Genomic DNA, 22,718 nt, shown 5'->3' with positions numbered 1-22,718 from the left:
GTGCCCCTTCCTTCTTACGGCAAGGTCAGGGAGAATTCTTAGTGACTTGCATGAAATAGAGTAAATGCTGTATTTTAAGGGTAAAATGTTTGGTTTCATTAAATTTCACGAGAAGAAATCACCCGTTTCCATGTGCTTTCTTATCTGGTTACCACCATATAATTCTTTCTTCTTTATAAGAAAAAAATATTTTAAAAGTAGTCTGTGCTATAACTTCTGATTCTTTTCTGTCCCATGCACTTTACAACAGGCTTTATAGGTGCCTGTCTAGCTCCAATAACAACACACTTGATAATCCTAAAAACAAATTCTGATCACCAAATATTATAAGCAATATTTTATTTAGTCCTCATCTTGATTCACCACTCTCTCCTTGAATGTCTCTCACTTCGCTTGGTTTTTATTCCCAAATTTCTTGCTGTTTTATTTCTACCCATGTAGCCATTTCTTTTTAATTTTCTTTGGCTCAAATTCTTTCATTCTCCTTCTAAGATTATTCCTGTGGTTGAGCCAAAGCCAGTCTCTATGTGTTCCCAGCCACATTCATAACTTTATCTGCAACTTGTACCAATGACTGTCAAATTTGTTTCATCAGTCCACTTCTCTCTTTGAGCACCATGTAGTACTTATCTCTATTATTCTTCTAAACTTCTCCATGCTAAACAACTAAAGTTCCGCCTTTGGAAAATGTAACTGAGAATTCACCATAAAATGCTTCATCGCTATCTTCTTATTGGCACTATAAGCTCTAATCAGTTGTAGAGAAAGTTCTACAACTCATTAGAACTTATAGTGTTGATCATTTGCTCATGAGGCCTCTCTTACCTTGGGTCCAGCCCAGCCAGTCAGAAACAATCACTACATTAATCTAAGTATCTCTCAGTTGCACTTTCTCATCTATAACCCAACTGCTGTGCCTTCATCAATATCTTCAGTCCAGGCAGGATCTTGGGCTATTAATATAGCCTCCAAAAATATTTCCCTATTTTTAGAACACCCGCACTCCATCTGTTCCTTTTATTTTCCTATTGTGTAAAATTTCTAAAAACAAAAATTAACTGTGCTCCCACCCTGCATAGTTATCTCAATACAGCTCATTCTAACAGGCAAAATATTCTTTTAGCTGAGCATTTATGGAGAAACAAACATCTACCAAACTAGGTACTGAAGAAACAGTGGTAACGCTGATGCAATCCTCTTATGGTAGGTAAAAGGGACTGTAATCAAATCACTTAGCAAACAAAGGTACAATTACAACACCAACATGTGGAATGCATATATTGAGGTGACTTGAGAAACCTGGGAAGTCAGAGAGGGAGACTTTAAGTTGCAAACTGAAAAATGATAAAAGCTAGGTTAGAAAAAAAGGAATCTAAACAAGGGAAACAAAGTGAATACAATTCCTTAAGTAGGAAGAGGCTCGGAAAATTTAAGAAATGAAAGATCAGTATATTTGAACAGAGAGAAGAAATAAGAGAATGTGACTAATTGTTCAGGTCGTAAAAACTATAAACCTAGTCTTTATTCTAAATTCAAAGAAAACTAATTATAGGGTTTAAAGATGGAGCGGGGGAGTGATATACTTAGAAAACAGATTGAAAAAGTCAGAGTGCATGGAGTGCAGCAGAATAGAAGATATTGCCAGAAAGAGATCAAGATAGCTTGGGATATAAAGATTGTAGTGAGTATGGAGAGATGTGGCAAGACTTCCGGGATGATTTGGGAGTAGTTTCTTAATATGTGATTAAAAATTTTAAGTACTCATATATGGATGGCATGGGGCACAGAGGAATCAAAGAGAGAGAGAGAGATCAAGGATGACTCCCAGATGTCTAATTTGCAGAAAGGGAAATTACCATTCCCTGAAATTAGGAGCCAAGAAAAAAGACAGATATTGATGGAAGAAACAGGGCAAGATGATAGTGTCTGCTTTTGTGTACATTATATTAAATGTGCCATAAAACATAACACCAAAGAGTATTTGGAAATTGTTAAGTGCATGCGAATAAAACTAAAAAGAATCTCAAAATAAAAAATATAAATAAGCCCGAGATTGAAATATAAATATTGGGAACATTGGCACAAAATAGCAAATAGAACTCTAGACATAAATGTGCTTATGTGGGGAGAGAATATAGATCTCTAAGAAAAAAAGGCAAAGATGAGTCTTTCAGAATTTCACTATTTTATGTTTCCATAGAAGATGAGATGTCTAAGGAGACTGTAAAGGAGGATGGGGAAGAATGCTGAGGAGAATAGGGGACTTCTATGTGATAAAGGAGAGGGAAGACTTTCTAGGTGAAGGGGGTCATCAAGTATCTCTAGGAATATGAATGCAAAAAAAAAGCTTATTAATGTTTATTAGATTTGTTCACATGGAACTTTATACGTGACCCTATCAACAACTTTCATAAGTTAATAGGAATTTGAAGGGAAATTACAGCCAACTGCAAATGTTAGTGGGAGAGAAAGAAATGAACAGAGATTCAGACGATATGCAATGCTTCATGATAATTTTGCTTGTGAGGGAGGAGAGGATGATCTGCTGTCCAACAGAGGGTCTGTGTGTCTATTTTTGTAAGTAATCTGAAGGGGTTTACATACACAGGGGAAGGATTTAGTTAAGTAGTCAATGTCAGATACATCAAAGAGATAACGTAATTCAAGGTACCCCAAATTATGTGCCTTTTGATGTCTAACAAATAATCTGACTCAATACAAGCAAGACAACTAGATATAAAGTCATAAACAATTATAGATTCTGTGGGTAACTGCAGTGTATTCTCTATGGGCATTCAAATTCAAAAACTGGCTGGGCACGGTGGCTCATGCCCATAATCCCAGCACTTTGGGAGGCTGAGACAGACAGATCACTTGAGGTCAGGAGTTCGAGACCAGCCTGGCCAACATGGCAAAACCCCGTCTCTAAAGTTAGCCAGGCATCGTGGTGCATGCCTATAATCCCAGCTACTCGGAGGCTAAGTCAGGAAAATCGCTTGAAACCCGGGAGGCAGAGGTTGCAGTGAGTTGATATCGCCCCACTGCACTCCAGCTTGGGCGACAAAGTGAAACTCCGTCTCAAAAAATAAAAAATAAAAAATAAAAAAAATTAAAAAAATTAAAAACTGTGATTTTTGTATTGAGTATTGAAAACTTTGGCAAAAGGATAGTCTTACAGACACAAATAGATGATTGATGTACTGTAAAAGGAAAAAAAATTAAGTCACTGTAGACTTAGGTGAGTTTGTTGTAGGTTGCGGGAAGAAAAGATTAATTGGTTCTCTATCAATAGGTCCAGTTTTCTCTAAGTAGATAACAAAGTCATTTCCTGAAACTGGAGCTGAAATGTAAAAGGACTGAGGAAAGTGAGTGGCTGTAGGGTGAGTTAGGTAGGGAAAAAAGCAAAATTAGCCAGTGGAATGGTTTATGATCTAGGTTATTTCCTGTGGCATTCATGATGTGATCCATGTTTGCAGTAGATGTTATTGGAGAGAGAAAATTTCTAAGAATGTCCAAGTTCCTTCATAAATGAGGGAAATTAATGAGATATAATCTCCTTAACATAATTCATCCTTAATTATCTTTCTGACTTGGATTCATGGTCTTCCATGTTAGGCTTCCCACACAACAACCACAAGTACTCTGAAGTCACCGTGAATTTACCCACTCTGTTTGCATGTGTTAGTGGCTTCCTCTACTTGGTAATACCACTCTGTTTGGTGAATTAATGTTTCTTATTTTTTAAGATGCAGATGACACACATTTGCCACTCTTAGTACCTTCCTAAATCTCTAAACTTTAGAACTCTATAGGTGCTAAATTAATAGATGGAAGGCCAATTTGTTTAGTCACTTAAGTGTGAGTTTATTTTGAATTTGTTTCTGAAATCGTTGCTTAATTCTGTGGTACCATTCATTTTTATCCAGTGCAAATGCTAATGTGATCAAATTGAGAAACTTTAAAAACATATTCTGACCCACAGGAGCTATGTACCATCAACTAAAAAGTTGTTATTAAGGTAAACTTCAAGCCGTTATAATCTTTTAATTTATTGCATTTTAGAAGAATAATGATTGAATTTTAGATTTGTATTAAAATAACTTCTGAAACTTTTAATTTATCTTCCAACTTTACGATAATGAGCAAAATATCATAGTTTAAACTGAAATTTAATTACTTTTAAGACAAATTCTGAAAAGCTTTAAGCATTTTCTATTTATAGTACTAAATCTCCTCTTATTGGATGAAAGCAATAACCTGCCTCCAAAGAATACTCTATAGTATGTCATAAACCCATACTTGATAACAACACAAATAATCACAAGCAAATTAATTTTGCTTTCTTACATTCATTATCTATGGAAGAAAACCTCGTAAGAAATACATGTCCATGTACATAGATGAATTCTGTTTTGTTTGGAAGAATGCGTAAGTTTGAAATGCTATGTTTACCAGGAGTCTCCTCACTGCTACTATTTATTAACTGCCTATTATGTGCCAATACTTCTTTCAGTACTCAACATTTATGAGATCATTTTAATCCTAGAAGAGCAAGGATTATCACCCTTGTATTCCAGATGATAAAACTGCATTTTAAGTGCATACGCTTCAATTTGAACTCAGACCCACTTGAGTCCTCACCTCACAGTCTTAACCATTGTGCAAGTCTGTCTTTTCAGAGTTAAAATATTAAAGAGATTTTCAAATGCAAATCATTTTAGTGCATTTTTTATTAAAGTGCAATATATTCCTTAAATCAAATTAGAAAGCAGAAAGGGAAAGTTCCTTTAATTCCAGACTCATAAAGATGCCAACATTTTCATGTCTATTATATCTTTTCTTGGTATAGTAGAACCACAAAACAACAAGTTTATTTGACTCTCAGTTTTACAAAGTTAAAAAGATTGATAATACCTAGAGTTCACAGTATGTGAGGAAAAGGGTACCCTGAGGACTATTGGTAAGAGTATGAATTGGTGTTACTCTTCAGAATGGCAACTTGCCAATATGTGTTAAATGTTAACAGCATTTATCTAGCAGTTTCAGCTTCTAAGAGTTTAATTAATAGAAACAATCAGAAAAAGACACAAAGATTGATGAATAAACTATCTGTTGCATAAAGAGATGTTCATTGTTTATAACAGAAAAGTGATTTTACAAATTAGAAATACATAGATATTCAAAAGTAAATTTTCTGCAAAAAAATTACTATTAATACCATAGGTATTTATAATTTTGAGGATATCTGATATCCCCTATCACAATAATCTATCACAACAACCCAAGGAAGGCTTTAATCAGCATAAGAATAATTAAGTCAATGATATCTCTGGTATCCATGGTATTTGAGCTGAGTCCACATCTGAAGGAGTTTAACTTTGAGATCTAATCTGAAATCTAAATAGAAGTTAGCATGAGAAAGGATAGGTGTTAAAATTCTGCTGGGCAGAGAGGCATGACCAATTAGATCTAAGGGATGAGAAGTAGCCTTGACTATTTAGGAAATAATAAATATCTTGGTATTCCTGAAACACGGTGTGGATACATGCCAGTGAGGGAAGATGCAGCTGGAGAAGTCAACAGCAATCGTGTTACTTTCTCTTTCTTTCACCATCAGTAGTGATATCTTCATTTACTATCGTCTGTTTTTCACAATTTGAACATAGTAAAATGTTATTTTATGATTGGAATTAAGTGTTCACCGTGCTATGTTTAGTAAGCTAGCTACCTTTTAATTTGTCAAACCATCTCTCTATCTACTTAAAAACCAACAGAGTCGTTGAAGCTAAAAGAGAAATGTCCAGAGGATGTTTTTAGAGAAAAGAACACATGAAGCAACCCCTCTCTCAGTTGTGTGTCTATATAAGTGTTTGATGGTGTGATAGGTGGGTGGCTCTCCTCATATTTTTCCAAGTCTCACAGAGAGAGGTTGCTCTAGAATAGCAGCCCCCATGGCCGTGATCCAGCCATGTGTGATTAATTTCTAAATGTGGAAATCAAAGCCAGCTTTAATCAGTTTCAAAGCTATATAGAGATCCAATAGAAGAGTAACTCCAGATTAAAGTCTGTGCTTGAATATGGATTTTCTTTGAATAGTTGGATTTTCAAAGAATTTGTGAAATTTTTTAGGTTGATACTATATCTACTTGTGCTACATAATTTAAACATGAGATTCATTATTCCTTCCCCTGTGAAGCAAGGTTTTCAGGCACTAAGTTCTACAGAGGGATTCCCACACCCAAATTACAGGAAACTTACTCCTGTTTCGGCAATATATTTTCATTTCATTTAGAAGATAAATACAACTAATGAGAAAAAAGCAAAGCTACTTCTGTGTGAAAAAAATAGGTAGGGAAATTTGTGATTTCACCATAAAATAATCATGTGATTTGTGTCAGCATTTCCATTAATCAGGATTTCTGCAGAACCTGCAACGTGCTAAGTACTGAGGGTAGAGTAACCACCTAGGAAGTCAAAATCCCTGTTTCATGCCATTTATAATACCATTTACATTCAGTGAAGCAAGAAACAAATATGTATTATGTCAGGTTATCATAAATACTATTGATTACAATAAAAGGCAGGGTTGGAGGGTAGCAGATATGAGCATATGCCTGTGTGTGAATCAGTAGTGTGGGTAGCTTGTCTGATCATATGGCAGCTTGGTTGAGGCATGAGCAAAGAGGCAAAGCATGAAGATATCGAGGGAAAGGCATTGCAGGCAAATGGGGCTGCAGGATAGTGAGGGAAGTCAGAGGTGATACAGGAGGAAGTGAAAGAGGTAGAAAGTGCCCCAACTCTATGAGGGCTCTGAGTTTGGACATGCTCCTAGCAGAAGAGTGATATGATCTGATTAAATGATCACTCCCACTCCCCTGTGGAAGAGATCTGGTTTGACTGGTAGGAGAGCAGAAGCAGAGAGACAAGATAGGGTGGCAGTTAGGCAGAAAGTGACAGTAGCTTGGAATACGGTATTCATAATGGAGAGATACCAAGTGCAAGGATTGAAAAGACACTTGGGGTAGAACTAACCAGACTCTGCTATTGGAATAGATAAGGAAGGAATAAAAAGATGACACCTAGCATTTGGTATGAGAAACAAAGCTGCTGGCTTATTTAGGTGAGGAAGGCAGGAAGAAAGCAAAATAGAAGATAATTGAGCAGAGAATGTTATATAACAAACGTGATCATCTGAACACAGCTATTTAAAGTATCAGAAAGACTGTTTCCTAAAACACATGGATTAAGATACTATATATTGATCAGTTAAACTTAATCTGGAGACAGACTTTCAAAAAAAGAAACAAAACAACAAAACAATGAAGGGATTTACATGTTTACATGGTTTTGAATCTTTCATTCAAATATGAAAAGTGAAAATCTTGCCACTGCATTCAGATATACAAAGTTTGTCCTGGATTATAAGGATGATATGGGCATTCACACCCTAATACCCCGAAGTGTATATATGTGATAGAGTTTGTTTGAAGATAATGTATACACTGAGAACTAGGACGACTCAAATGAGCCCCAGTTGCTCAATAATCCATAGAGACGTGTTAAAGCAGATTGAGCTGGACTGGATTCAGCACAGAAAGGGTTCCGGGAAGGAGATACCAGCCCTCTAATGATCTACACATTTTTAGGAGTGGAGAAAGGAAGAAAATAAACATCTAGTAACCCTGTGATGATTGGTGCTTCTTGGTTTAGGAAGTGGCCGAGTTAAAAGGAGAAAGCTCCTGAGCTCAGCCTCTGGTCCTATTTATTGCGCTAGTTCAGGTGAGCTGATCCAGTTTCTTGCTAAGTCACTGAAAGGGTGGAGGAGATGAGCCATCAGGGATATCTAGAATTTTCTCTCCTTACCCTGATTAGACTTCATTCTGCCATCAGCATTCACGCTCTCTGTTGTAGGTTGACCTACATAGATACCACCTATACAGATTCCTTTTACAGGCATGTCCCATTCAACCTATAAATCTTTAGCTGCATTATTTTATTTTCTATTCTTTTTAATTAACGCCATATATTTCTTAATTTTGGTTATAAAAAATTTACATTTCCTTCTGATACTTAGGAAAACTCAAGCCTGGGAAATCCGCAAAGAAATGCATTTATATATATATATATACATATTTTTTTTTCATTCTCAAGTTTTCCAAATAGATTTATATTAGCTTTCTGTTTGATCCTGAACTTCTGAGTCCTTCTGGCATTTAACAGAATAACCTGATAGACACAGAAGAAGCTACCATATTTTGCTTTAAACAATTTTTTCTACATCTGACATGGATAGATGGTTTACTATTTGTGAAGAAGAAAAATGTGTCTGTACATTAAATTTTCTAAATTAATGCTATTACACACAATGTGTAACAAATACTGATAATCTGTTAAACCAGGCATGTTTAGAAACCCTATTAAACCTAAAAGAGAGAACTAAATTTATTTACGAGACAATTCACAAAGTAAAAGCATTTCTTTAAATCTGAAATGTGATTGAGAATGAGGGTTTTTGTATGTGCTAAATAATTAGGCGTTTAATTCATTAGTATTTATTTTAAAATATTAATTTAACTCTAGGTAAGTAGGTATAGGACATTTATAATAATAACAATGTGGAAGACTAATAAATGATATAAATAGAGTCATTAGAGCCTTGAGATGGTTGCTAGTGTCTTATATTCCTGGCACAGCAAAATTTCTTTCAAAATTAATACAATTTAAAGACAGTTCATTAAAATGTATAGCTTTGCAAATTGAGTTGACATTAGTTATCTGTATGGTTGTGCATATATAAAGCATATTTGCAACTTTTTACCATTGATGACCAGAGTGTGGTGGATTCGGTTAATTAGAAATCCACATTAATATACCCTCTTTTTAGTGTATTTTGACTCAGTCTTTACTTGTCCTCAAGATAAATGGTATTGACTGATTCCCATGGTTCACTTAATAGAACAGGTAGAACTCCATTTGTATTCATTATGGTCGGTCTATATTAATCATTCCATTTCTTACCTAAAGCTATGTCAGGACATATTTTCCAATTCATGATTTCTGCCTGATTTTTCACTAAATTCTAGGCTTGTAGTTTAGTTAAAAAACAAAACTTAATTACAGTTTTGAAAAGCTTTTAGAAATGCCATTGGATCTTGAACTGATTAAACAAACCATTTTGTTATATCAATGTGTTGACAAACTATTAGGGACATAGTCATACTTCTTGTTTTTGCTTTAATTTTAACTTACTATTAAATTAGACGAAATTTGAAGCAAGTTTTATTTTTGAAGTATTTACAAAGTTCAAGGTACTGCGCAAGGTACTGAAAGAAATACAAGAGAAGTAGAGCTTTAAGCATGTGTTTAGTGTAATGAAGACAACACAGGATTTAGTCAAAGTTGAGGACATTTTATTTTGAATTTCCAATGAATCTTGTGCCACATTTTTTACATCAACCTTGTCATCTATAGAATGAGAATACTAACAATTATTGATCTACTTACTTCAAATGTTTTGTGAAAATGAAATGATATTTATTCCTAAAGCATTGCATGCATTACAAATCACAATACTTATATTCACCTAATGTGTTTCACAGAATACTAGTAATTCTATGAGTATAACCACAAGTGATTCCTGGCCAAACATGTTTGGGAAATGCAGCATACTATCTCCATTCCACTTGGAGTGGCATGTGGCATATCAGCTTTTACAGGCTCAACTATTTTTTCTAGACTAGGATTCTCCACATTTCTTTAAGCGTACTTTATCATAAAATACTAATTAGCATTGCAAAAAATTATGGTAACATCGAAAATACTAAGGAAATTACACATTATGTAAGTGTTAGCTGTGCTTTTACTATCACAGTGTATGTGGTAGGAGTAACAATTTTAGTATATGAATAGCTACAGCACACAGCAGGCAAACAGTATAATAAAAGTAGTAAAAATTACATCATACCATCTCATAGGAAGGAAGAGTTAACCAAGGTTGTAAAAATCGAAGTAATTCTTCAAAATATTTGAATATCTAATCTGTATATAGGATTCTATTTGGATGTCTGGGATATCCAAGCCTAATCCTATATAAGGGTTAGATATCTAAGTCTAATTCTATATACAGGTTATTTCAAATATTTTAAAGCATTTGAAATAGTTATTAGTATTTATTTAATATTTATTAATAACTATTAATAAATATTAATAGTTATTAATATTTATATTATATAAAAGTGTATGTATTATAATTATATAAATTTCATAAATTATATTATATTATATAAATTATATAAATTATATTAGATTTATAAAATGTAAATTATATTATATAATTACATAAATTATATAATTATAAAATTTAAATTATATAAATTATATAATTATATAACATAAATCACATATATGTAATTAAATGTGTACATTTAGCACATGTATGTACATACATGTACACACAGGCCACCACCACTGCCAAAAGTATTATGCTAAATAAAAATCAATAAAGCAAAATGTAAATGATGTATTACAGAGGACAGAACATAGAAATGGGCAGCCTAGTTTGATAAAGTTTGTTTTGTGGATATGTTAATCCTTACATGTCAATTTGACATCTAGAAGAAAACACAAACCAGACAAAAATGTCATTGGTTCTGATTAATGAGTCTTGGGTAATGTCTGTATTTGAGTTTGAGAAAAGATGGGTTGTGGGTCATCCTCAGAATTACAAAATTAGGAGAAAATTCAGTACAATACAATGACACAGCATCTAATGAACTAAAAATTTCTTTCATTTTGCTATGTAAAATTTGCATTAATATATATTTAAAATTAAAATCAATTGAATGAATTCACTCTCACCATGCAAATATTAAAAAATAGAGAAAAAAGGAAATGCATTCAATAAAGTATAAGAGTAACAGTAGACAGTATACAGTCATCTACCCAATAGACATCCCTCTTCCCTGTTTAGAGACTATGACTTATGTTCCGAAAACCACATTCATTCACAAAGCAACGGAATTTAAGGAAAGAGACCTCCCAGTTCCTGATGAAAGAAGTGAATCTTGACTAATTTAGCTAACTGTGAACCTTTTAGCCCTCTTGCTATTTGTTTTAGGAACAAACATGCTGCAAAGTTTCAGCCAATGAGATACAAGGGAAATGATTTCTTGTGGGGCTTTAAGAGAGAAACAAGGAAGATTGAGTTCTTGTTCTTGCAGATCCTGATGTGTGTCAATTGGTAGATGGAGCTGCTTCAGTCATCTTCAAGGAGCAGATAAGAGGCTCAGGTAACATGCTGAGGAGTCTAGTGAATAAAGAGGGAAAAAGTGTGGATCCTTGATGATGCTGTTGAGGTGCTGAATTTAAAATTAAGTTAGTTTGCCTTGGATGTCTTGTTTGGAGAGATGATAATTTCTTTTATCATTGAAAATATATTGTACTAGCACTTTATTTACAGCCCAAATCATTTCACTTGATGAAACATTAGAGAAGAAAATACTTGTTCTTTTTCCCAGATGCTATAACTTCACATAGCATTTCTATAATTTGTTTTCTGCATTTTCAAAAAATTGGAGGCATCTAAATTCAAAATCACAATGAACTTAAAATGTCTTCCCCAATTAATAGGAAGTGATGACACCTGTACATAGACAAGGAACTCAGGTTACCTTTCTCACTCCTACACCTGCTTTCTTTATCTCTCAATTCTCCTTAACTGATTTTCCCTAGGGGATCTTCCTGGATTAACCTTGCACAATTTGTCTTTAAAAAGATAGATCAGCAAGTTTTCCAGGTGATATATAACCAAACACTTCCACTTTCTTGAGCAAAGGGATAAACACAATACAAATGTAAATATAGGAGCTATGCAGTCTAAGGGAGTGGTTAAGCATGAGTGGTTTGAAGCCAATTTTAAAAGGATTAAGTTCTGACCCTACCACTTACTAGCTGTGTGGCCTCAGGCAAGGCATTTATGTTTCTGTGTCCTTCCTATAAAAAGTGAGGATATATCATTGGCATTCAGTATTATCGTAAGGATGAAGTGCTTATAAAAGTGCCACACAGATAGTATGCACTCTTAAATAAGCAACTAACAAACCATATAGAAGGCCGCCCTTTGCTTAGCTCATTTGGAAAGTCTAAATGTATGCCAAAGAATGTATATTTTAAGTCAATATGTGTTACACTCATATTATCAGAGGAAGTAATTTTCCTCATAACTATGGAGCAGTCAGTCACTGGTATTACATCTAAGCAACATCTTATAATAACAATGCTTAATAGCCATCTAGTACATTTATTCTAAGTAGCTGGGAGCACTTAACGAACATTATCCAATTAATCATTAGAGATTCCTGTGTGGTAAGTCGGAATTGCTATCTCAGCGTTAGTGATAATGATAGGGATATGCAAAGCCAGTCATCTGCATGATAAATCTGAATGACTTTCGCAGCATGTGGCCAGGAATAGAAGCAAAGGCCTGATTCCTTGTCAATGATGCTGTTCAGTGGACCACGCAAGTTCTTGGACTAGATATTCTTGGATTGTTTCTTTCCAAATAACATGGAAGCATATCTAATTTTAACTGTTAAAACTGGCAAAAAGACCCAAGTATTTGTGGACCTCTGACAGCACCTATTTTTAAGCATGTGTCTACTAACATTTGGGTTTTAGATGATCACGAATTCTAACAACTTAAAACTAACTGCTACCAACTGCTGCTTAATTAAAATTCTACTTAACAGTAGCTATGGACAAAATAAGTAAAATAAGATAAATGTTAATTTTAAAGTTCAATCTAATTGGAAGTTAGAAAAAAGTCATACTATTAAGATCATAATTATCACAAAAAATGTGGCACCAGCTCCCAAATTCAGTGAATTCGTGGTTCTGCTGCCAGAGGTTAGATTGTACAATGTTAACTGAGACATATTACTTTGACATAGAAAAGTGAGTTCAGAAGTAGACTGGGAAGAACGATAATTAGAGGAAAGCACTGAGTTTGAAAATTTAAAAAAGAAGCTTATATATAAGTTATATATAAGAAGCTTATATATAAGTTAACTCATCATTTGAATTGCCATTTCTCTAAGTGAACGTAAAACAAACCCTCCCAGCTTCAGGTAATCATTTATTTAACTACAGTAAATTATATCTACAATTTAGGATTGTTGTTAGCCTTAAAAATGTCAAAGAAGTACAATTGCCTTAAAAGTATTCAGGAAATGTTAGTATGTGAAATGTGAAAAGTCAATTGAATTATTCAATACATTCAATTCCCTCAAACTAACACACCTAGAAAATACATCGAGAAAATCAGAACAACTTAAAGTTTTTGATCATTATTATTATCTTTTGCCTTTGAATATTGATATCTTCAATAAAATGTATTCAAGAGAAGCAGGTCTGGCTATTATCATTCCCCCTCCACAGCCCCAGTAATTGTTTCTACTATTCTGAGGGACATTCAGCTTTCTGCCTTTGTAGGTGTGTTATTCAACTACACATTTCACCCTTTCACAATTTGCTAGGTGTCAGCTTTTTGGAAAATTAATCCAAAGATTGTAATGGCAAATAAAATTGTAGTGGTTTATTTCAATTAGGGCATATTTTAAATAAGCAGTAAAGTTATATAACTTTAAGAAATAGGACCCTCATAGGAATATATGGAAGACATATATTAACAAGTATAGAACCTATATTTTCAGTACACATGGCTCAGGATGGAATCTCAAAAATACCACTTCCTAAATCTGTGACCTTAAACAAGTTAATGTACTATTTTAGAACTCTGGTTTTCTCGTGTATAAAACAGAGGTAACTCAGAAGGATAAGCATGTGACATAGAGAATACAATGAGATATTATATATCAATTAGCATTGTGCTTAGTCAGTGATATGCACTCAACAAACAATCATTTCTATCTCTCTCTTTCCCCTTGCATTATAAAATGTAGCCATAGATTCAGCCCTGAAAAGTAATGTCTATCATGGGTGTAATTATACTCTAGAATGCTAGGTGTAAATTATTTTATCTTTCAAGTGTGATTTTCTCAGAATGAGACTTTACTGTGAGGCTCGTCAAGGTCATTGTGTTAAACAATTCTGTCTGCATCCTCAAAGTCAGAGGTCTAACTAGGCTGCATAACAGTTTGACTGAAAAGGCACTATGCAAATCAAATGCATGCTGTCACTGTTATGGATACGACTGTTCATTTTTAGACGCATAGAAGGTTTCTCAACTGTAAGGAAGAACTTCGGCTCAGTAAGCAGGTTAGTGTGATTGATATTTTACTATGCAAGAGAGCAGAACAGAAATGAGTTCAACTTATAAAGTGTAAATTCTGTATCTCTTTATATGCATATATAAATATGAGTAGAAGAGGATAAAGTGAAAAAAAGACAGAAAGACAAACCAAAAGAAAACAAAAGTAGAGAGAAATTGAGAGGCAAAAATAGGACAGAAAGGCAGAGAGAGAGGGAGACAGGAAGACAGACATGGACAGGAGGAGAGGGAAATGAGCAGGTCTGAATTAGACTAGAGAAACAGAGATTGGATGGACAAAGAAGCAGAAAGACAGTTGCAAAGACAAAAGATAAATGCATCTAGTGTAGTTGTACTGTTTTCTCATCTGAGAGAAAAAGAAATGATCCTTATTCATCCTTAGTGGAGCGTAGTTATTGTCAAGGGGAGGTCACTAGGGAAGATGTGTGCCTCACAGCAAAGACTGCTGTCTCTTTGTAGTATTTATTTGAACAGTGTGTGCCCCATGCGCACATTACTTACCTTGATTATTCTTTGAAGGAATATATTAGACCCTTTATTTTTATATATGACATATATCAGACATTGTACAACATAACTCAAAACAGTATTTGAATCATGTTCAACACAAATAATATGTGTCCATATGTGAAAGCTGCAAGGAGAGTCAGGATGGAAAGAACTTGAAAAGTAAAAATCACACAAACAGAAGCCGAATTGTGCTTATTTGCTCTTAGTTTTAATACAATGAGAAGGAAATGAGAGAAATAAGCATTATTACCATAAATGTGTATCCATCTGTCTTTGTTAGACTCTAATGCATAGTAAACAAATTATTTTAAAATTAAATGACTTCTTCCTTCAGCACTTTTATGCAGCATAAGTCCGTCAAAGATTTCTGACAAGAGCAAAATATATGAGCAATCACTATGTAAACAGAAAATACTATATTAGGCAGAGAATTGAGCTCTAACTCTGGAATCAAATTCAGAACAATGGACAGTGTCAGTGGGTTTAGAGAGGACTAGTAGTGTAATAACGGAAGAGGGGACATGAGAGAAAAAAGTCACATAATTTTAATTTCGATTCATTCAAATTAATGCATACTATAAATATACATATTATCTTTATGCACATGAACATATAGCACATTATTCCACAAAGTCAGGAGGCATGCTCAGCTAGGACAAAGATGATATTGGTACAGAACTACAGTGAATCAAAAGAGAAAAGAAAGAAAAATAAACACTCCACCTTTCTCTGACAATCCTCAGCTTCTCACCTTGGGTGCCATGAAAATTCTCTTATCATCCTTCGGTTGCTATATGTGGCAGTTACATGTATTGAGAGGAAAAAGAACCTTATAAAAATGATGGAAAATGTGTCCATCTAATGGTGGTGTTTTGACCAGAGTTTGAGGAAAATCAAGATGATTGAGAAAGTAAAGGATGATGTCACCCTTTAGATCAGGTGTACTCATGTGCCAGAGGAAAGCTATTAGAAATGGAATATGGATTTTCAAAGCTTAACTTTAATGTCATGAACAAAGCAGACCTAAGGGAGTCACAGACATAATACATCGTAAAAGAAAATAGCCAAATCTATGTAAAATAAGAGTATTTAATACTCATCATGATGTTATTAACTATTTATAGCACTATAAATTTATAGTATCTGTAAGTATCAAAGTAGAATTATAGTTTTAAATTATGTCTTTGAAAAATATATATGGCTATGCTTTCTTTTCTCATAGTTGATTCCAGGCCTACAGAAGAGAAATGGGGCATGGCAGAGCCATTGAGTCCAAAGAGCTATATATTTGAAGAACTTGTCATGATAAACAAAAATCAAAGCTTTTAAAGTTATAACTCCCCAGAGTAGGAACGAGCCAAGGACACCAATACCATTACCACTGTCAAAATCTGTCCATGGCATTAAACTTTTCAATCTGCTTTGGTTTGGCAGCGTAAGGTCATTCCAATTCCCTGGGGTATCTTTCTTTCAGCGATGCTTTGGCTCTTCGTGAGTGATTTACTTGATTGGCATTTATATATTCTGCTGCTTAAAATCATTCACATGACTAGCATCCTTCAGAATATAAACAGAGAGATTCTAACACAGTGTTTCACAAACCACATCCATTCTTACATGTGTTTTCTCCTGCTGATTGAAATGGGTCTAATCTAAACAAATTGAGGTCTCTCTTTTCTCATCCATATGTATGTTTCATGCCTGTCAAAGGTATATTACTGCAAAGTGTGAATAATCATGTTTAGCCTCCTTTATTATGCTCAGTTGGAAAACACTTATTTTCTTTTCAAAATATTTTCATATAAAACATAGGAATTGAAGATCAACAACTGAAGTTTCTTCTGAAACTGAAGAAACAGATATTTACAGAGTATTACTTATCAGTTAAATGATTACTTCAACTGGGTTCAAATTGACTTTTGCCATCATTTTTTGCTTTTTTTAAAAAAATGTAAGATATATTCTTTCTCGCTAGGGAGCGATCATTTCTAAAAGTAAGAATTTTTTCAATTATGAGCATTGAATTAACAGTGTATCTCAAATTTGATATATTAGAGAAACAGCATTTTTATGAAATGAAGCTTTTCTTGGTAATCATTTTACAGTTGTTTTACTATGTAGTTTTTAATCTGTCAAAATATTTTAAAAGCATGTGTACATATTTTTGCATAATTTGGCAAACTTGTGCCATATAAGAAATTGGCAGTGCATGATAGTAAAAATGCTATTCTTTGGATTTATTCTAATTGACCTACTTTTAAAATCTTTTTAGCAAAATACTTGAAGCATCTTAATTTGGTTGCTGGTAATTTAGAAGGAGAAAATATTTTTAAGAGAAATATATTCCAGGGAAAATCATCTTAATCAACTACCAGACAATATGGTATGGGCATAAGCAAAAAAACCCATTGACTTCTATTCAAGGGATGACCAGATGTCCAATATAAATGAACAGCTATATAATTCCCAGTGCAGTCAGATATTCATTAAAAAATACTTAGAAGCTACTATCTAACTAGGTCCTCTTCCAGGGATTTGGGATACATCAACGAACAAGAGAGATAAATATCCTTGCATATCTGAAACTTGCATTCTAACAGTGTAAGATAGGAACTAGCCATTATGTATTTTTTTTAAAAAAGTGATAATTGATAAGTGTTACTGAAAAGGGGCCCTGATCCGACCCCAACAGAGGGTTCTTGGATTTCACACAAGAAAGAATTCGTGGTGAGTCCACAGAGTAAAGTGAAAGCAAGTTTACTAAGAAAGTAAAGGAATAAAAGAATGGCTACTCCATAAGTAGAGCAGCCCTGAGGGCTGATGGTTGCTTGTTTTTATATTATTTTCTTGATTATATACTAAACAAGGGGTAGATTATTCAGATTATTCATGCCTCCCCTTTACAGACCATATAGGGTAACTTCCTGATCTTGCCATGGCATTTGTAAACTGTCCTGGTGCTGGTGGAAGTGTAGCAGTGAGGACAACCAGAGGTCACTCTCCTCGCCATCTTGGTTTTGGTGGGTTTTGGCTGACTTCTTTACTGCAGTCTGTTTTATCAGCAAGGTCTTTATGACCTGTATCTTGTGCTGACCTCCTATCTCATCCTGTGACTTAGAATGCCTAACTATCTGGGGATGCAGCCCAGTAGGTCTCGGCCTTATTTTACCCAGCCCCTACTCAAGATGGAGTTGCTGTGGTTCAAAGGCCTCTGACATAAGGAAAAAACAAGTGAAACACAGAGTGTTGACCACAAATGCTTGGAATGTGTGTGTGTGTGTGCGTGTGTGTGTGTGTGCGTGTGTGTGTATGTGTATGTGTATGTGTATGTGTATGTGTGTTGGGAGGCTGGATATTTGCAATTTTAAATAGGGTCATCAAACATTCACCCACTGAAAAAGTAAGAGTTCAGAAAAGATTTAGAAGAGGTAAAGGAATTGTCACTGTGTGTATCTATGAAAAGCACAGCAGGAACACACCTAACAAATCCACAGAACATCTACGAGGCTAGTGTGCCTGTCATGGAGAAAGTGAAGGGAGATTAACAGAGGATGAACTCAGAGAAGTAACAAGAACTGATCACGTGGGGCTTTCGGGGCCATTGTCAGGAGTTTGACTCTTAGCCTGAATGAAATGTGGATTAGTTGCACGGTGATGAGCAAAGGAATGACATGATCAGACCAACATTTTAACCAGCCCCTTTGGCTGCTGTGTTCAGAATAGAATGTCGGGGCCAAAGTGAAAGCAGAGACATTGTTATGCGGTGAGATGAAAATGTTTACACAGCAGGTCTGCGATGAAATGATGAATTAATTCCCTTTCGCAAGGCAGTGCTCCTGGGAAACAAACACATTCAGTGAGAAGTCTAATCTCCTATTAAACATTGTCATGTTTAATGACAGACCTCCTGGCAATTAAACTACATGGTTTGTGCTAGTGAGAGACAAGACTAGCTGGATTTCCTAGGCTGACTAAGAATCCCTAAGCCTAGCTGGGAAGGTGACCACATCCACCTTTAAACACGGGGCTTGCAACTGAGCTCACAGCTGTCCAATCAGAGAGCTCACTAAATGCTAATTTGGCAAAAACAGGAGGTAAAGAAATAGCCAATCATCTATTGCCTGAGAGCACAGTGGGAGGGACAAGGATCGGGATATAAACCCAGGCATTTGAGCAGGCAAAGGCAACCCCCTTGGGGTCCCCTCCTTGTATAGGAGCTCTGTTTTCACTCTATTTCACTCTATTAAATCTTGCAACTGCACTCTTCTGGTCCGTGTTTGTTACGGCTTGAGCTGAGCTTTCACTCGCTGTCCACCACTGCTGTTTTGCCGCCGTTAGGGACCCTCCGCTGACTTCCATCCCTCAGGATCCAGCAGGGTGCCTGCTGTGCTCCTGATTCAGCGAGGCGCCCACTGTCGCTCCCCATCGGGTTAAAGTCTTGCCATTGTTCCTGCACAGCTAAGTGCTTGGGTTCGTCCTAATTGAGCTGAACACTAGTCACTGGGTTCCACAGTTCTCTTCTGTGACCCACGACTTCTAATAGAGCTATAACACTCACTGCATGGCCCAAGATTCCATTCCTTGGAATCTTGAGGCCAAGAACCCCAAGTCAGAGAACATGAGGCTTGCCACCATCTTGGAAGTGGCCTGCCGCCATTTTGGAAGTGGCCCACCACCATCTTGGGAGCTCTGGGAGCAAGGACCCCTGGTAACACTAGGAGGAGAGTATTTACTATGAAAAGTTTTGGGCAGGATGTACTTGCTTCTTCTGTAATTGCTTCTGGTAAATAAACCTGGAATCTACAGATTCATGGGACATACTTCCTGATTAACATAATGTGAATTATGTAACTATATGAGTATGAAATTGTGATGTTCTATAATCTAAATGGCTTTTTCTTTGTAAGTGAGGTGACCATGTACTTTATTAGAAGTCTCATCTATTACTTGAAAGACATAACGGTGAGATGAAAAAATGACCTAGGGAGTCATACTGGTTGTCATGGAATTCTTCCTGCTTCACCTGTATTATGCATTTATATGTACCCTTGAAATTATTAATAAGCTCAGTACTGGATCAAATTTCTAATTCTTGGGAATCTCATTGACAGTGTGATCCTGGGTGTTGTTACAAATGGCAATACTTCAGGCAAGAGACAATGGTGTCTCATGTCAGGATAATTCTAACAAAGATGGTGGAAATGTTCAAATTATGAATATTTGGGGCAGTATTCTACCCATGGCATGGGTGTAGCATGTAAAATAAAAAGAAAATTCAAGAACAACTTAAAAAATTTTGGTCTGAATGGTTGTGAATGTCAACTGAAGTGGGTAAGACTACAAATAGATGGGTGTGTGTGAGTTCATGGATTGAAGGTGCAGTTTTGTGCATGCCAAGTTTGAGATGCATTTTAGACATCCAAGTGGTAAATATTGATACATGATTCTTTGTGTTATGTCCATGCAATATACAGGAATGGAGGGAGTCTGGGCTGGAAATATGTATTTGGAAGTTGTCATCATATTGAGGATATCGAAAGTCCTGACATTGGACGAGAAGTCCAACCAAATGTATATAAACAGGATAAACGAGGGCCGAAGACTGAACCTTGAGATGCAACATTAAAACGTCAGTGGGGGCCGGGCGCGGTGGCTCACGCCTGTAATCCCAGCACTTCGAGAGGCCGAGGTGGGCGGATCACGAGGTCAGGAGATGGAGATGGTGAAACCCCGTCTCTACTAAAAATACAAAAAATTAGCCGGGAGCGGTGGGGGGCGCCTGTAGTCCCAGCTACTCAGGAGGCTGAGGCAGGAGAATGGCATGAACCCGGGAGGCGGAGCTTGCAGTGAGCAGAGATCGCGCCACTGCAGTCCTGCCTGGGCGAAAGAGCGAGACTCTGTCTCAAAAAAAAAAAAAGTCAGAGGGAAGAGGAAGAACCAACAAAAGAGACTGCGGAGGAATAGCCTGCATTATAGGGTGTATTGAGAGCTAGGTAAGGGAAAATAAAATATTCCATGATGTCAGAGCCCCAGCTAAATTATGGGTCCAGTACTAGAGCAGCTGACAAACCTGCACTAAGGGCAAATGATGAGGAGTTGGATGTGGGTGTATACAAACTTTATTTGTAAGTTTATTACAAATAAACTTAATATATGCATGATGTTATTTTTAAAAATAAACACATCATACCTGCGACCAGGGAAAACTTACACTGGCAAGCCACCTGTGATTCTTGTCTGACCTGTGTCTGGTTTATGCCTGCCTGGTCAACACTTTGGCATTGGGAGCTTGACCTTTTATTCTCCCCAGTGTTCCAGGGAAAACCCAACCTGAGGCAGCTCCTGATTCTTCAGATGGAAAGTGCAAATTTAATGTAACACCAAAATAAGGAACAAGTTCAAGGACTTTTCCTTGCAGACTCCAGGATCCAAGTAAGGGTGTGTGGGAGGGTATAATGAGTCTGGAGGGCAGTTCTTTATCCTGGAGTCATGGCAGGCAGAAATGAAGAGTCAGACAAAGAGAGAGAAACGGGTGGCAACTAGCACACTGTATAAAGATTAGGGTGTGGGCCTTCAAAGTTCAGAGCAAATGACTGAATGGTCCCTTTAAAGAAAGGGGCAAGAAAGCAGTGTTCAGTCTGCTAGGCAGAAGAGATGCCTCTAAATTTTTATATATGACCACCAGTTTCAGCCCTTTGGGTATGCTGTAGGATGAAAAACTGTGTAAAGGGTGACTGAGCCCTGCTTCTAGTATGAGAAAGCAATACTAGTATTCAAAATGGATGCTGAAGCAACATAAACTGATAAGAAGTCATTATACAGACATGGCTGGGAACTGAATGTTGTAGTGACTTCGACAAGACCAGTTTAATGAAAGATTAATCCCCCATTCTATAATAAACATATGAGTCTTTACAAATAAATGTAATAAAGTTATTATGCATGTTATTTTTTAAATATATATTTCTCTAGTATCTCAGATTTCAGAAAGCTCAAATATAAAGTGAATTCCCAACTGCAGTTAACCACACTTGAGGTGTTTGGATTTTTTTCTTTTCCCCCCTCCCTCTCTCTCTTCTTCCTTCCCCATCTTTTTTCCTTCTTTCCTTCCTTCCTTTTGAGAGGTTCTCGTTCTGTCATCCAGGCTGGAATTCAATGGCACAATTATAGCTCACTGCAATCTTGAACTCCTGAGCTCATCCAGTCTTCCCACCTCCGCCTCTTACATGCACGTGCAACCATGTCTGGCAATTTATTATTATTATTATTATTATTATTATTATGATACAGACAGGGTCTTGCTATGTTGTCCAAGCAGGTCTCGAACTCCTGAGCTTGAGTGATCCTCCCATTACAGCCTCCAAAGTGCTGGGATTACAGGTGTGAGCTAACATGCCCAGCCAGATATTTTTCTTTAGGTTGTTTCTGATTATTCTTGCAATATGATATTCTCTTTTAAGTGTTTTAGTATTTTAAATTTCCAGAGTTAGCTCATTTTTTCATAAGGATTCTTAAATCATCTAAAATTTTTATCTTTAATTTTCAGAACACAGGACCGAAGAGGAGAGGTGAAACAAAAAGGTTTAGGGGAACTCCATAACATAGTGTTGACAAAGAGCTCACTGGGGTTAGCAATCATAGTTAAGATATAAGAAATGAGAAGAGAGAGGATGAGAATAGTGAAGCTTCTATGACAGCTGAATTCTATACACTTTTATATCTTCCCCTTAAATTATGGAATGAAAGCTTCAGGATTTGGGCAAGGTCACAGAGCGTGTGCATTCCAAGGGTCATGAGTGTTAAATGAGGGCCAGGCAGAGACTCCGTGCAGAGCCATGCATGACTTTCCCAAACACAGTTGTCGAGGACCCTCTAGCATGAATCATCTTCTGCTTCTGATATTGAATATTGCCATGATCTA

The 22,718-nt window shown here is 36.0% G+C and overlaps 1 long non-coding RNA gene across 2 annotated transcripts in view, besides 1 other annotated feature; it reads left to right on the top strand.

The window, feature by feature from the left end:
* Positions 1–22,718, top strand: part of LINC02197 (long intergenic non-protein coding RNA 2197) — a 125,726-nt gene that overhangs the window by 29,689 nt on the left and 73,319 nt on the right. The window lies entirely within an intron of this gene.
* Positions 18,179–18,810: an enhancer, noted in NCBI's record as "OCT4-NANOG hESC enhancer chr5:70694085-70694716 (GRCh37/hg19 assembly coordinates)". NCBI's record gives its function as "activates a minimal SCP1, AML or CMV promoter by ChIP-STARR-seq in naive H9 embryonic stem cells {active_cell/tissue: H9 hESC(naive)}" and the evidence as "EXISTENCE:reporter gene assay evidence [ECO:0000049][PMID:30033119]".

This window comes from Homo sapiens, chromosome 5 (assembly GCF_000001405.40).
Source record: "Homo sapiens chromosome 5, GRCh38.p14 Primary Assembly".
Taxonomy (NCBI): Eukaryota; Metazoa; Chordata; class Mammalia; order Primates; family Hominidae; genus Homo; species Homo sapiens.
The sequence above is the reverse complement of the archived record's forward strand: the minus strand, read 5'-3'. Positions and strand labels throughout refer to the sequence as shown.